The following is a 16,369-nucleotide window of genomic DNA, read 5'->3' as shown; positions in this document are numbered from 1 at the left end:
TTTGGCTGTGTGGATATACCACAATTCTTTTATCCATGCATTGATATGCAGATGGACAGATGGGTTGTTTCCAGTTTGGGGCTATTATAAATAAAGATGTACTTATCTAAGTCTTTGCATGAACATGGATTTCCTTTTCTTTTGAGTAAGTACCTGGAAGTGAAATGGCTGGAGTTTATGGTTAATTTTTAAGAAATTGCTGAAGTGTTTCAAAAGTGGTAATACCATTTTCCATCCTACCAACAGGGCATAAGAGTTCCAGTTCTTCCTCCTACTTACCAACATAGGTGTGTAGCAAGTAGCACCTTATTGGAGATTTAATTTGATTTTTTTTTTTTTTTTTTTTTGAGACGGAGTCTTGCTCTGTCACCCAGGCTAGAGTGCAGTGGTGTGATCTCGGCTCACTGAAACCTCTGCCTGCCAGGTTCCAGCAATTCTCCTGCCTCAGCCTCCTGGGTAGCTGGGTTTACAGGTGCATGCCACCACGCCCAGCTAATTTTTGTATTTTTAGTAGAGGCGGGGTTTTACCATGTTGGCCAGGCTTGTCTGCAATTCCTGCCCTCAGGTGATCCACCCATCTCGGCCTCCCAAAGTGCTGGGATTACAGGCGTGAGGCACTGTGCCCGGCCTAATTTGATCTTTAAATTTAAATTTAAAATGTTTACAACTTAAGTATAAAACAATTAAATTTAAATTTAAAACTTTTCAATTTAATTTTCCTTGATGGCAAATGATGTTGAGCATCTTTTTATGTGCAGTTTGCCATGCTTATGGTCTCTGGTGACATGTCTATTCAAATCTTTTGCCAGCTTGCGGGGGTGTTTTATTATTATTCAATTTTGACAGTTCTTTATATTCTTGATACAAATTCTTTATTAAATACATGCTTTGTAAAGATTTTCTCCCAGTCTGTTTTGTCTGTTTATTCTTTTAACAGTGTCCCTTGAAATGCAGAAGTTTTTAGGTTTTTTTTTTTTTTTTTGAGATGGAGTCTTGCTCTGTCTTCAAGCTGGAGTGCAGTGGCACTATCTCGGCTCACTGCAACCTCCGCCTCCTGGGTTCAAGCGACTCTCCTGCCTCAGCCTCCTGAGTAGCTGGGAGTACAGGTACGTGCCACCACGACCAGCTAATTTTTGTATTTTTAGTACAGATGGAGTTTCACCATGTTGTCCAGGATAGTCTTGATCTCTTGACCTCGTGATCTGCCTGCCTCAGCCTCTCAAAGTGCTGGGATTACAGGCGTGAGCCACTGCGCCCGGCCGAAATACAGAAGTTTTAAATTTTGATGTGGTTCAATTTATCCATTTGTTCTTTTATAAATTGTGCTTTTGCTGTCATCTAAGAGATATCTGCCAGTGCCATCGGGATTTTCTTGTATGTTTTCTCCTAGAAGTTTTGTCATTTTATATTTAAATCTTTGATCCACTTCGATTTAACTTTTGTATACAGTGTGAGGCATATATTGAGTTTATTTTTTTAAATATAGTTATCTGGTTATTCTAGCACCATTTGTTAAAAACGCTAGCCTTTTTCCACAGCACTGCCTTTGTAACTTTGTCAAAAATCAGTTGTCTAAATACATGTGGATCTAATTTTGGACTCACTATTCTTGTCTGTTGATCTATATGCCTATCTTTATGCCAATACCATGCTGTTCTGATTAATGTAGCTTCATAATACTTCTTCAAATCAGATAGTGTTAGCCCTCTAACTGTTCTTTTTTAGAGTTGTTTTGACCATTTTAGGCCCCTTTACTTTTTTATATGAGTTTTAAAATCAGCTTGTCGACTCCTACAAAAAGAGCCTGCTGAGATTTTGGTGGGGATTCCAGTGAATCTATAGGTGAGTTCAGAGAGAATTGCCATCTTAATGACTTTGAGTTTTCCGGCCCACGAACAAACTATGATTAATTCTTGTTATTCATGGTAGTTATGTTTTGTAAAGTGTCCACGAACACTGAATTAGCAAATACTGAACCATTGATCCCAGGGGAAGTACAGAGTGCAGTTCCTGTGAGCCTCTGGCTCCAACATTCTTGTCCATTGATAATACATTACCTTGCTTTGTGTGCATTTCTCTTTAAAGGCACCTTATGTAATAGCTATTTTCTTTTTTTTTTTTTTTTGAGTGCGATGGCATGATCTTAGCTCACTGCAGCCTCCACCTCCCAGGTTCAAGCGATTCTCCTACCTCAGCCTCCTGAGTAGCTGGGATTACAGGCGTGCACCACCATGCCCAGCTAAGTTTTGTATTATTAGTAGAGATGGGGTTTCACCATGTTGGTCAGGCTGGTCTCAAACTCCTGACCTCAGGTGATCCACCCACCTCGGCCTCCCAAAGTGCTGGGATTATAGGCGTGAGTCACCGTGCCTGGCCTATAGTAGCCACTGTTGATTCATCCACATTCAGCTCACATCCAACAGCACCATAATTCACCCCTGAACGGAGCTTTCCTAACACATGTGTCTTCTCCATGAGGCACACTGCAGCCTCCTTGTATGTGGGAACATGAGGCAGCACTTGGGCACTATATATAGGGACAGTTTAAAGTCACCAGCGAAAAGCATACATGTGAAAAACATGGCACTAAATAGACTGTGGAAAGGATCCTTGTCAACAGTTATAAGACCTGAATCAAGAAGGCAGGGAGTTGCCTTGTATGACTTCAGCTGGGAACGTGAGCATCTGGCTACTCACATTTTTGCTGCCTGTACATGTCTCTGAGTGACTGCTACAGCCCTGTGGTTAGATTTTGGGGTTACAAATAAATTTTAGTGAGTAGGTGAATTTGCAAATACAAAATAGTGAGGATCGACTTATATCTCCTCATTTATTTAAATTTCTTTAATTTTCCCAGCAATATTTTGTAGACCATGCAAATCTTTGATTTCTTTTGCCAGATTTATCCATATGTAGTTCATACTTTTTGATGATATTTTAAATGGGTATTATTTTTTCCATTTCAATTCCTGATTATTTATTGCTAGCATATGGAAATACAATTGATTGTTGTATATGGATCGTGAATCTGGCAACCTTGCCAAATTCACTTAGTTCTAATAGCTTTTTATAGATTTCATTAGATTTTCTACATAGATGATGATGTCATCTGCAAATAAAAACAGTTTTACTTCTCTTAATCTCATGCCTTTTATTTCTTTATTTCTTGACTGATGGCACTGGCTAGAAACGCTAGTACAATGTTGAATGATAAGGGCGGACATCCTTATTCCTGATGTTAGGGGGAAGTTACTCAGTCTTCTACCGTTAGTATGATGTTAGCTGTAGTATTTTCATAAATGCCCAAGGAAGGGCAAACTTGGAAGGAGTTTGGACTTTGTTGGAAAAGCTGTAGTTCAGCCACTGGATAGCGGAGAAGTTTGATGGTGTAGTCAGGCTGGAGCTGGCCTGGAGCTGCTGGGTGAGCAGTAGGCCCTCCAGAGTGTGGTCAAGGAGACAAGGCCTTCAGCAACCACTGTCATGGGCACGCAGCATCATGGACATGCAGTGGGAGTCCAGGCACCAGTGGGAGCAAGAAGTCTTTAGACAATCAGGGCTGAACATGAGCTTGCTCTGCTGCTGGGGATGCGAGACCCCAGCCACAGTCAACTGTGTGCAGGCCACATGAGGGCTTTGGTTTTACGAGGCTGTAGAAAAGTTACCACTAGACTGAGGCTGCAGAGTCGCACAGAAATTGTGTTCTGGGCCTATGGCTAGGGTAGGAATCCACTGCAGACGCCTCCCCCCTCCCCCATGCAGGATATTGTAGGGAGCCTTTTCCTCCTGCAATGTCCTTCCAGCGTCCTCCTAGTGAGGGCTGTAAACCATGCCTAGTGGAATTCTGTTGCTTACCATAGAACATATATTGAAGGAGTGCTTGGAACTGACACAGATGGGCAGAACTTGCTATTTTAACTGTTCTCCAAAGCTGGCTGGAGAGTGGGTGTGAGAGTCTCAAAGGACAGTCCAGGGAAGCGAGTTTGGGACCCTGAGAGCAGAGCACTGGCTGGGTTCCGGGGTGCAAGCAACTGGCTCAGCTCGGCAGGCATCCATGGCTAATCATCTTTTGTTCCCAGATTACTGCTCATTTGATGACCCAGGAAAATACAGTACTACTTTTCTGTGCTGGAATTGGGTGTCCTCCTCTCCCAGGCCCCATCCACAGGTCAGGCTTTGCTGCCTGTCCAGAATTATGCAACACAGATGTCCACACGCTACCTCTCACCAACACAGCTGGGACCAGACCCACCTCTCTTAGCCCCTTAGATCCCTCTTGCCTGGAACAAAAGTTCTCAAGGTATGTCCTTAATATATCCCACACCTGCCTCCACAGCTCTGCCAAGTCTCTTTCAGTATTGTCATCTGGTGCATGGAGTTTTGCACATAGCAGAGGCTCAGGAAACATTTGTGTGATTAGGGGATACAGATCTACATGTATTTCATCTGTGAATCCCCAGTACCTAGCAAAGTACGTGCTCAGTGAATACTTAAGGCGGGCAGGGTGAAAGCAAAGTAAAGCTTTGTAAAAGCAAAGCAAGCTGCTCCACGGACCCATGGAGCAGCTGCGTGGGTCCATTGAAAGAATCAGAGCCTTCTCCCTCGAAGTATTCAAAGCCCTTTATTTGTACTAATGCATTTCACCCTGAGAATAATCCTGTGATGGCATTCTTATCATCTTCCTCATCTTAGAGACAAAGACAACAAAGCCCACAGAAGTTACATCCATTTCTCAGGATCACACAGAAAGTGGCCAACATGGGGCTCTAACCCAGGCTCTGTATTTCAGACCCCACTCTCTTCATCACAAGATACTGCCTCTTCCCACATCTCTTCTATATTCCCAGCCCTAGAAGAGAGCTGACATATAGATGCCATGCATGTTTACTGAATAAATGGTACACCAACAGACAAGGCCTAGGCAGTTTTCTTGTCTTTGCCGAGGTCTGCAGAGCTAATATTAATAATGATAATACCTAGCTGTTATTGGAATGAGCCAGGGGCACACTCCGTGTGGCAGAGCAGCTAGTTGCCTACCCCAACGTCCAGTCTCCCCTTGGCCTTTGTGACAGGACCACTGCCCGTTTCCTGGCCTCCTTGGCTTCAGATGTGGCCATGTGAACAAGTTCTAGCCAATGAGATATAAGTGGAAGTTTGGTTGTGTCTCCAGGAAAGTTACTTAAAAAGAGGGCAAGTTCTCTTCCTCTCTCCCTTTCTGCTGCTATTTGGGATGAGGATGAAATGCCTGAAGCTCCAGCAGCTATCCTGGCCCAGGAGGTGACCTTGAAGATAGAAGCCACTTGTTGAAGACCAGGAGATGGGATCCCTGAAGACTTTGGGTAACCAGCATGAAAGTCCTGGATTGCCACCATTTCATGTGAGAGAGAAACCAAGCTCTAGCTTTTTCTGTGGCTGCTGTTTGGGGTCTACTGTTTGTCCAGCGGTACCTAATCCTCACAGACACAGGTGCGGTTTCCTGTTGTTTTATTTTACTATTTTACTTTATTTTAGAGACACAAATAAAATATCTTGCTCTGGCACCCAGGCTGGAGTGCAGTGGTGTGAACATGGCTCACTACAGCCTCAATCTCCCAGGCTCAAGGGATCCTCTTGCTTCAGGCTCCCAAATAGCTAGGACGACAGGCTCATGCCACCATGCCTGGCTAATTTTTTTATTTTTTGTAGAGACAAGTTCACCCTATGTTGCCCAGGCTGGTCTTGAACTCTTAGGCTCAATGCTCCTCCTGCCTTGGCCTCCCAAAGTGTTGGGATTATAAGCGTGAGCCACCAAGCCTGGCCCAGGTACAGTCATTATCCTCATTTTGCATATGAGGAAACTGAATCCTAAGGAAGTAGAGTAACTTGATTTGAAGCTGGGCAGTCACATGGCAGAGCCCGTGTACGGAACCACTAAACTATAGGTGCCCCCCAGAAGAATGCTAATTGCACGTATTAGGCACTGGGTAAACACTAGTTGGAGGGTGGCTGGGGTCTGCCAGTGTGGGAACTAGGAATGCAGGGGTTTGGCAGTGTCTGTGGTCTGCTGGCTGGGGGAACTGCACTCTGTGTTCTTACCACATTCAAGAGGTTGAGGCCTGGGCCCTACAGCATTTTGGCAGGGCACTCACTGCGGTTATTAAATTCTTCATATTCTGGTCTGTCCTTAAGGAACAGTAGACCAAACACAGGCAATTTCTGGAGGCTTCTACAAGAGGAAAGTGATTCTAGTCCCATGTGAAACAGGGTGGGGCAGCTAAAGTCCTCTGAAAGGGAATTAGGATTTTAGAGCTGCAAAGGTGATCTTAGTTAGCATCTCCCAAAGCGGGCTCTGCAGCATTTCCCCCAAAACACTAGAATTAGAAGATGTTAATAGGTGTTCAATGTAGAAGCATCACGGATCCAAGAAGCCTGAGAAATCGGATTATTGCAGGGCTTCTCAGAGCCATCAGCATGCATTGGCACCTTCTAGGAAGGGAAGGAAATACACAGTATTCCTTAACATCACTTGAAGTTGGAGCTCTTTTATTTGCGAAGCACTTCACAGGATGTCTTTCTGGTTTTTAAAAAATATTATCAATAGATAATATTTATGAATAATTTACTGCATGCCAAGTATTGTGTTATGTAGTATATATGCACTATCTCATTAATTCTCAGAAAAATTTATGAAGTGGGTGCTCGTATTGCCATTTTATAAATGAGAAAACAGGCTCAGAGAGTAACATGGCCAAGGTCACAAGACTAAGTAGTAACGCAGAGGTCAAACCCCTCTGTCTGATTACAGAATCCGCCATGCTGTTACACTCAGGAGGTAACTTGCCACATCCGACACTGTTGGCAGGAGGCCATGATGGATCTGGATTCAGGTATTTTGACTCCTTTTCCAATTACCATTTTGTACTTTGCTGCTTCTAGGTCACGGATGTGCCAGATGGTGGGTGATGCCCATCTCCCCACACTGTACTTCCCTCCCACACACCCAGAGCTGTGACCAAGGGACCAGCTGGGGATGAAGCAGAACCTCTGGGCCTGCCCATCACCAATATGCACATGGCCTCTCCTTCCCCCTATGGACCTGACACATGGACTAGTCCCTGAGCTGAACCCATGTGTCATGGGCCATGCTGTCCAGAAGCCAGCACTCAAAAGCAAGCCCTGGACCACTCTAGGTGTGTGGTTTTTACATTTTTAAATGGTTGAAGACAAACAGAACAATATTTTGCGACAATTTGGTGAAAACTCTGTGAAATCCAAATGTCAGTGCCCATAAATAAAGCTCTACTGGCACACAGCCCTGCTCATTTGTTTACATGGTGTCTATGGCTGCTGTGTGTTAGGACAGCAAAGCGGAGGAGCTGCAGCAGAGGCCCTATGGCATGCAAAGCCTAAAATATTTGCTTTTTGACCCTTCACAGAAAATGTTTGCTGACCCATTTCCAGATGAAAAAAATCAAAGCCCAATAATATAATCATTCACATCTGGTGATTTCCTTCTCAAGTAGCTGGTTTCATTCCTACTTATCAGGGGTTGGCGGGAATGAAGTGGACTGTGACTAAGCCTCAGGAAAGAAGAGAATTTGCAGGCCAGGCACAGGGTGTGGGCCAGGGCTCAGGAGGCCTGGATTCCTATCCTGGCACCGCCCTCTACCCTGCAGGCACCCAAGGAAGTTTATTCTACTGGGTCTGTGAACTAGCATGCTCTGATATGATATGCAATCAATAAATACATATTACGTATTTACTATGTGCCTTCTCAGGCACTGCTTAAGCATATCTATATCTATCTATCTATCTCACATACATACACACAGATTTATATACACACGTGTATATATACAATATATAAAACTTTCTGCTAGTGATAAGTGCTATAAATAAAAATAAAGCATGCTAAAGAGGTGGTGATGGTGAGGTGTTTCTTTAAATAAGGGTGCCGGGAAGGCTCTCTCAGGTGAAATGAGCAAAGACCTATATCAGGCAGTGAAGAAAGAACGCGTTCCGGGTAGCAGAAACAGCCAGTGTGAAGGCCCTGAGACGGAAGTGTCCTGTGTGCTTAAGCAATAAGGTCAAGATGGCTTGGAGGCAGAGCCTGAGGGGGTACTGGGTAGGAAATGGACCTGGGAGGCCACGGAGACAGGGGGTCTGGAGAATATCTTAGGCGTAATAGGAGCCTACAGTGTCCTGTGCCACAGCATGATCTGTTCTGATGATTTAAAATGAAATCTGTTAGTTGGAGACTGGATTGAGGAGTGGAGCTCAATGCCTCAGGATCTCTTTTGGATTCTCAGGGTGAGATATCACAAGGTAAAGACCCCCTGGGAGGCCAGCAGACCCTGCAGCTCTCCAAGTTGAAAGGCTCAAACAGGGTGAGGGCGCCATGCCCACCACGCCCTCAGAACAATGGGTGGTGAGCAGTCTGTCAGGGGGCACTGCAGGCTGAGGGGCTGTGGCATGGCCTGGAAAGGGGCAGGCTCAGGTCAGGCAACAGGGTGGACTGAGTGTGGCCCTTTAGACCTCGCCTCTTCCAAAAGTCTCCCCAAGGGCCCTTGGGTTGCAATGGGGCCTTCTCCAAGCTCCACAGCCCCTGGAGCTTCCCTCTCTGTTATACCTGGCATGCTATGAGGATGTACCTGTCTTCTGACTCCCCTTCCGTGGGCCAGGAGCTCCTTGCTGGCAAGGCCTGTCTGACTCAGAGCACTGAGTAGGTGGCTGGGAGTGGGTATTAATCCAACGACTACGGCAGAGGCTGGAGCTGGACAGCCAGCAGCGGCTTAGGAGAGGAAGATCAGTGAGGGCCCGGATGTCTAGCTTCTTCCACTGGCATGGACACTGGCCTGGTCCTGTATTCCAGATCCTTCCCTCCAGGGTCTGGGTGACACACCTCAGACCTTGTATTACAGTGATACATCCCACGTTCCTCACCATTCATCTTTGAGCCCTGCCTTAACTCTGTAGGACACAGGGAAAGGAGATGCTCACTGAAGGGGTGCCCGCCAAACATTTTGCAGGTAAAATCTTTAGTCCTGCGAAGTGAGTATTTATACTTTGTAAATGAGAAAATAAAGTCAGAAAGGTGATCTGCCTCAAAGAGCCAGTAAAGATCAGAGCCTGTTTGTGTTCTTTATACCATCCTAGGCACAGGCTATGCCCCCGGCAGTTGCTGGATGCATCAGTGTCTGGGTCAAGAGTCTAAAGCATCTACTGTCTATTCTCCCCTTATCCGCTATTAACCCGTAGTACAATGGTGTAGACCTAGCCTATAACAACTTGTGACCACTTTACACCCACTCAATTGACTACAATAAAAAAGACAATATAGCAAAAATGTGGGGCAACAGGAACCCTAGTGCATTGCCGGTGGGAATGGACAACGGTGCAGCCACTCCGGAAAAGCCTGGCAGGTCCCAAAAAACTAAACAGTGATTATATGACCCAGCAATTCCACTGCTTGGTATATACCCAAGGAAATGAAAAACATGGAAGGACTAGGAAGTGACTGCCAGCAGGCATGGATTTTTTTTTTTTTTTCTTTTGAGGAGATGTTCCGGTATTAGCTAGTGTAATGGCTGCCCAACTCTGTACATGTACTAAAAACCACTGAATTGCACTCTTCAGAAGGATGAATTCTCTAAAAAAATCTGTTAATAAGAAAACAAATTTGTTGGCTGTCCTTCAAGCTCCAGGTTATCGCCCAGGCTAAGGACAGAAGTATCCTTTTCTGGAAGCCCCATCCCCAGCAGCCACTGGGCACCAACTCTTGGGCCCAGAATGTAGCTTATTCACTCGCAGATTAGGCAAGCCAGTCTTCTCTTTTCTTCTAACTTACACATTCCTAAGTCCTGACTCCATCCTCCTGCAGGAGTTGTATTTGTCCTGGGTTCCCCGGGTCTCCCTGGGACAGCCCCTGAATGATGGGCTCCACAGTCAACATCAACCCTCACCAGACTGGGCAGCCTCACCAAAGCTGCGCGATGCCAGGAGTTGGGGCTTAGTGCTCAGCAGACTCCGGAAGAATCCCAAACCTGTCTCTTTGGGAAAATCAAAAAACCATTTCAGTGCCTACTATGTGCTGGGCCCAATATTAGGTTCTTATTTAGCCTGCAACTTGTCTGAAGGTAGCTGTCATCACCCCCACTTTCGTTGAGGAAGTAGATGTTCAGCGAGGCTCAGTTACCTGTCCCGGCTGGCAAGTGGCGGGAGCTCTTTCCCCAGCCCGCCTGGCACTCACCCAGCAGTCTTGATTTCTCTGGGTTTTAGTTCTCTTATGCGTAGAGGAGCATACATCACACCTGCTATGCAGTACGATGGTCACAAAAACATGTGGCTTTTCATAAATTCCAGTCCCTGGTCCTCATGGAATGTGGCTTTTGTTGGCCCAGGCAGAAAGGGAGATGGACTATGTGCTCTTTTTCCCATTCCCAACCCAACCAGGATGGCCTGGCTTGATTGGACCCCTTTGCTTTTTGGACACGGGTGCTACCAACCTCAGGCCACTGACCTGACCTCTGACCTCTCATGGAACCGACCTCTCTGCTGAGCTTTTCCAAAACTTGATCCTTACACCTTTACTGCTGTGGTATGGAGACCCCCCCTTTTTAGCTCTTTGTTAAAACTCTCTCAAAGGCAGAACTTGCAGAACCACAGGGTTGGGGGTTGAGGGGGCTTCTGAGATGTCTGGAGGAGGGGCCCACAATGTTTGCTTAGGCCCCGGACCCCCTGGAAGGGCAGACTAGGCTTAGTTTGGATCCAGGATCCCCCAGTGGCAGCTGCACGATTTCAGATAGCTTCCTGCACTTCCAAGTGCTGGTTTCTCAGGTGTAGAATGGGAAGGTCAGTCAAAGGCCATCAGGCAGCTTCTTCAAGCACGGGGACATGGAAACGGCCAAGGATCCTTCTCTCCCACCACCCACCAGCTGGGATGGGGGGCTGCGCATGGGCTGGCCTTGCCACCCTCCCAAACAGGGGCAACAAACCACAAAACACTCTTTTTCAAATCACATATGGCTTCTTTGACCCCATCAAATAACTTTATTCACACAAACGTCCCTTAATTTACAAAGCCTCAGTCATTCATACACATTAGGGGATCCACAGTGTTCAAGGAACTTAAATATAATGTATCATACCAACCCAAGTAAACCAAGTACAAAAAATATTCATATAAAGTTGTTCACACGTAGGTCCTAGATTACCAGCTTCTGTGCAAAAAAAGGAAATGAAGAAAAATAGATTTATTAACTAGTATTGGAAACTAACTTTGTGCCTGGCTTAAAACCTCCCTCACGCTCGTCTGTCCCACACAAATGTTTAAGAAGTCACTGCAATGTACTCCCCGGCTCTGATGAAAAGAAGCCCCTGGCACAAAAGATTCCAGTGCCCCTGAAGAGGCTCCCTTCCTCCTGTGGGCTCTCCTAGAAAACCAGCGGGACGGCCTCCCTGCTGATACCGTCTATAACCTTAGGGGGCCCTCGGGCAGGCAACGGCAGTGGACTCATCTCGGTGATGGCTGTAGATGCTAACACTGGCCAATTCAATGCCACACCTACTGGTTACCCTTTGAGGGCATTTCTCCAGACAGAAGCCCCTTGAAGCCTAGGTAGGGCAGGATCAGAGATACACCCGTGTTGTCTCGAAGGCTGTGCCACAGCCCAGTACGACAGCTTGGCAGAGCCAGTATCTCTGGACTTCTGCCTCCAAAACCCAGTGGCCTGAAGAGCTAAACAATGTCAGCTTGGCTCTTCCAAGGTTGCCAGGGCCGAGACTCCCAGGAGCTACGTCTGTCTGGGGGCTGCCAGACAGGCCTAGGAGGGAAAACCAGCCAAGGGGAGGGATAGTCTGAGACCAACCTAGAGTAAGTGCCACCAGCGCCCCCAGATGTCGGGGGAAGAGGGGCGTATGGGCAGGATGGAAAGTGGGAGCTGCACTTGGTGGGCAGGGCTGGAAGGAGCCATATGGAACCAGGCAAGGGCAGAACGTTAGGGTCCCTCCTTAGGGGGTGGCAGCCTGACTCCTGCTTTTCTAAGTTTCCAAAAGATACCCCAAGGCTAAAACCCAGACATCCATCCTATTAGGATGTCTTCTAAGAAGGTAAACAGCTAACAGCATAAAAAGAAAATTCCCACAATGCCAGCTCTTTTCCTTCTCTTAGAAAAAGATTCAAGCAAAAATAATCATCTTATTGCTCCAAACACTGGTTTTCTAGGCTAGGAGACAACTGATATGTTAAGGAGCTGAGATCTTGGAGGAGGGGAATGTGGAGGTGGGGAATGTGCAGGGCGAGGAGGCCGTAGGGAAGGCGGGGAGTGGTCCTAGCACCACAGGGTTGGGAGCAGAGGGAGCGGAGGGCGTTTGCCCCTGCCCCGGGCATCTCTGCCCTCATTCGCTCTGGGGCCCCCCGGCAGTGCCACTAAGGAGGCCAGGCCCTGTCCAGAGTCAAATCTCCACTCAGTGTTGGGTGTTTCTCCTCTGGCTGTAAACAGGGTGTTTCTTAAGTAAACATTTAGTATACTCCCTCAGAAAGGCAGCCACAGGGGCAAACTATGTCCAGGTGGGAGGAAAAAAATTCCCATTCTCCTGATCCAATGCCTCTGGGACGAGACGAGGCTAAGGCCTGCAACCTTAGTCCCCAGTGCCCAGAGAAGGTTCAGACGGGGCCAGTCTCGAATGAACAGACTGAGGCATCCTCCTGGCTAGAGGTAAGAGGCAGAGAGTGTGCACCTGTCCAAAGCACAGTTTTTCTGTCCTGGGCTATAGCTGCGAGTGAGTGCCCTGGTGGTGGTGGGGAGATGCGGACCTGGCTACAGCCCTCAGGAAGAGGGTGTTGGGGGTGAGGGTGATCCCTCCCCCGTGGCTCTCTGGGAATGAGAGAGAGAGTGAAAGAGCAAGTGACAGAGGACACAGATAGGGAGAAAGAAGCCATGCACTTCCAGCTGAGCCAGGAGGCCTGGCCAGGGGAGGACAATGGAATAAGGCACTACGATCTGTCCTGCTGATTCTTCTGACGGGAAAACCAAGTTCAGATCCCTAACAGCCGAGGTCAAGAGTCCCCCTCCAAAGGGCTATCCTTGCCACAGAGCCGAGGAGAACAAATGACTGCCGTTTGAAGTTTTGAATACTACTAGAACTTGGGCAGGTCCTACAAACTTGGTGGTGTTGAGACGATGCACCAGAGAGCTGCTGGCAGCCTGAGACCCAGTGAAGACGCAGGAGGGGGGACGTGACAGTGAGTGGAAGCTGGTCCACAAGGGGACAGTGGAGAGTGGCACTGAAACTACAGGTGCTACCCGGGGCTGAGCCACGGCCAGTTCTCTCACCACGGCGGAGCCCGCTGAGTGCCTGAGGTGGGCAAGTGTTTGAGAAAGCAGGGGAGGGGTAAGAAGCAAGGGCAGGCACTTGGGGCTAAAACGCTGGCCTGCATTTATGCTATGGAAAGAGGTCGTGCCACTAAGCAAGAACTGGAAGATGAGGGGGCATGGAGGCTGGCGACCCCTACCAGGCTGCCCACCTGTCACCTACAGGGGTGCTGTTTCTTGCTACTCTGATAGCAAGAAAAATAACAAAGGGGGAGCACGATGGCTCCAAGAACTTTTTAGTTAGAGCTACTAGACCTGGGGAGGGAAAAAAAAGAAAATAAGGGGCTCATTAGGCTGGAGCCTCACTAGGGATGTTACAGTGTGGGCTGCAGCCAGGGAGAGGGGGGTGCTGGGTTTGGGGACTGTTTTTGCCCATTTGCTCATGTACAGAGAGACAGCTGCCCCCAAGGAAAGGCAGGGTGGCGGGCGGAAAAGGAACCGTGTACTGCAATTAGGGGATGCTGCTGTTCCCACCCTCTCGGATACAACTCAGTGCACTCAGGAGGCTGCCTGAGAAGTCAGAGACAGGAGAGACAGGCAGTCACAATGGGTTTTGGCTTAGGAAGGGAAGGGCCTGGTTATCACTGTGGGATCCTGCTAACAGCAGCCAACCTTCTGCTCACAAGGAAGAAAGTTTGGTGTTGAGGGGGGTGACAGAAGGCTGAAAGAATGTGAGCAAACATATTGCTGAGCCTGGCCTGATGCACTGTTCTCTCCCAAATTCTCAGGGCCAAAGGATTGCCGCTTAGCAGGTAAAAGCCCCTGCTGCCTTGGTCACATAGAAACGGAAATGCCCGCCAACCGTCTCCCCTATCAATCCTATGCTGGTTTAGGTGAAACAGAAAACAAAAATGAACACAAAATGATTCCCTTCCCCCTCCCCAGTGGCCCTATACTATTTGGCCATAATGGGGTGAAAAGCCTTCGGAGTGGCCAGGCGCGTCCAGACAGAGGGACAACACAAGAGCATTGCCCCTTCTTGCAGGGGGAGAACAGATGGGCTCAGAGCAGCAGCCCAGGGGGAGGGAAGCTTCCCCTAGGGAGGTGCGAGAGTGTCGCTGGAGAGTGCAAGGATGGCTGCAGCAGACAGGCATGGGTGGCGGGGCTGAAGTGTCATGGCTGGGGAAGCCTGAAGGTGGCGAGCCCACAAATGGGCCCCTAACGCTGCAGGGGGTCTACCCAGTTCCACGACACCTCCCTGCTCTGGGCAGGTCCGCTGTTTTCCCATTGGATACGTCTATACTGAGGGCAGGCACCTAACAGTAAGTCTCCAGGGGTGAGGGAAATGGCGCTTGACAGTGTGTGTCACTGCATATGACACCATGGACCCCGGCACACAGGGCACGCCCTTCACTGTGAGAACACGACAACGGCAGCCAGTTCAGGACACCCTGTTATCATGGCAAAGTCACAACCAGATCTTAGGGCCTCAGGCCGTCTCTGTGACACCTGGACACTATGGGACACATCTGGGAAGATGACAATCCAGGAGGCAGTTAGGTGAGAAGCGCTGACCTCACGGCAGTGACAGATGCCTGCTGAAGACCCAGCTGTGTTCCACACAAGAGTTTGGCACAACAGTTTTTCCCAACAGAAAGGCAGGGATGGCTGCTCCACCGCCAGCAAGAGCGAGATGGTCGCCCTCCACCCTTACCTCCTAGTTCCCTGCAACACAGGGCAGAAGAGGAATGGATTCCCACCACTGCAAGTCCTGGTGTGGCCTGGGGCTCTCAATAGCTTAAACACAACAAAGCCTGGAGTTGAGACCTTCTTAGTTCTCCTGGCCAAACCCTGGCCTTCCTCTTCCAGGCGGTTCTTCACCTCTGATCATCTCCGAGGCCCAAGGGCTAGCCAGGGCCAGCCCACCAAGGAGTCCAGGAGTTCCTGCATCTGGTAGGGAGGCGTGGCCCAGAGGCCTCCTTGTGTCCTCACGCCCCGTTCCAGAAGAAACCCCCAGATTCCCTATGGGGAGGCAGGCCTTCTCTAGGGAAGTGAGGTGTCATAAGTAGAACTGAGAAAAGTATAAAGAAGGAAGACAGAGGGAAAGTGAAGGACAAAACCAAAAATAGCTCCCTAACCCCTTATAAAAAGTAAAAGTGAAATTTACACATATGCCTTGCCCACATTGAATTTCTTTAAAGAAATTGGTGCCTGTCCACAGCATTGTGTCCTGCTCTTCTGAAGTCTCAATGGTTTAAATTTAAAAAAAGGAAAGAGGAAAAAAAAAAAAGAAAAGAAAAGGAAAAAAATAAAGCAAAACTAAAAAGAAGCGGGGAAACCCAAACAAAAGCTTCACATTGCCGGATCCAGCTGTCGGGAGATCGCCAACCGGCCAGGCCACCACCTGTACCCTCTGCCGTCCTCTGGAGGAGACGTGGTGAGACTGTGGGTCCCGAGGAATCGACCTGGAAGACAGAAGGCGGGTAAGGAGGGGACATTGGTCAGCAGGCCTGGGCACCAGCCCTCAACCCAGAGGAACACTGAAGCTGTGTGTGCTGGGGGCTGTGGGGCAGAGCTCTAAAGAGATGGGGTAAATCTAGCTTCACAACCTCCCTGGTCTTATTCACACATGCTTATTTTTCAGATAGGGAAACTGAGGCTCAGGTTAAGTAACTTACCCAAGGGCACACTGACTAAGGGGCAGACACTAGCTGGGAACCCAAGCTTGCTGGCTCTAGCTGTCAAACCAATCTTGAACCCTGGCTTCCCCGTACTATTAGGAGCAAGACACCGCAGGGCCCACCCTGGATAGTCTGTCCCCACAGACCTTGCCAGCACTGCTTCCACTCATGCTTTCTTCCCCACTCTCTGTGATTAATTGTGCTGTTTGTTAGAAACGCCACAGCAACCCTCTCTAGGTTCAGTAATCCTGTTTTACAGAAGAGAAGAGTGAAGCTCAGGCCTCTGAGAATCCGAACCAGGCTACCTGCTCAGGTCTTAACATGGGCCAGAATCCCACACCCAGGGGCAGGGCTGGACTGGGCCTGCACTGTCTGCTGCAGTGCACTGTGGGGGTTAAG

At 48.3% G+C, this 16,369-nt stretch overlaps 1 protein-coding gene across 2 annotated transcripts in view, besides 3 other annotated features; it reads right to left on the bottom strand.

Annotated features, from left to right (window-relative positions):
- Nucleotides 7,984-8,499: an enhancer, noted in NCBI's record as "H3K27ac-H3K4me1 hESC enhancer chr20:2131685-2132200 (GRCh37/hg19 assembly coordinates)". NCBI's record gives its function as "activates a minimal SCP1, AML or CMV promoter by ChIP-STARR-seq in naive H9 embryonic stem cells {active_cell/tissue: H9 hESC(naive)}" and the evidence as "EXISTENCE:reporter gene assay evidence [ECO:0000049][PMID:30033119]".
- Nucleotides 8,500-9,016: an enhancer, noted in NCBI's record as "H3K27ac-H3K4me1 hESC enhancer chr20:2131168-2131684 (GRCh37/hg19 assembly coordinates)". NCBI's record gives its function as "activates a minimal SCP1, AML or CMV promoter by ChIP-STARR-seq in naive H9 embryonic stem cells {active_cell/tissue: H9 hESC(naive)}" and the evidence as "EXISTENCE:reporter gene assay evidence [ECO:0000049][PMID:30033119]".
- STK35 (serine/threonine kinase 35) overlaps nucleotides 10,983-16,369 on the bottom strand; it is a 46,729-nt gene continuing 41,342 nt past the window's right edge. For both annotated transcript variants that reach the window (NM_080836.4, XM_011529174.4), the window contains one exon: nucleotides 10,983-15,754. Coding sequence is in view for 1 of the 2 variants with exons in the window: in XM_011529174.4 (XP_011527476.2) it covers nucleotides 15,642-15,754 (113 nt within the window). In the remaining variant the exon portion in view is untranslated. The remainder of the gene's footprint in view (nucleotides 15,755-16,369) is intronic.
- Nucleotides 13,178-13,841: an enhancer, noted in NCBI's record as "H3K4me1 hESC enhancer chr20:2126343-2127006 (GRCh37/hg19 assembly coordinates)". NCBI's record gives its function as "activates a minimal SCP1, AML or CMV promoter by ChIP-STARR-seq in naive H9 embryonic stem cells {active_cell/tissue: H9 hESC(naive)}" and the evidence as "EXISTENCE:reporter gene assay evidence [ECO:0000049][PMID:30033119]".

The sequence above is a fragment of the Homo sapiens genome, chromosome 20, assembly GCF_000001405.40.
Source record: "Homo sapiens chromosome 20, GRCh38.p14 Primary Assembly".
Lineage (NCBI taxonomy): Eukaryota > Metazoa > Chordata > Mammalia > Primates > Hominidae > Homo > Homo sapiens.
The sequence above is the reverse complement of the archived record's forward strand: the minus strand, read 5'-3'. Positions and strand labels throughout refer to the sequence as shown.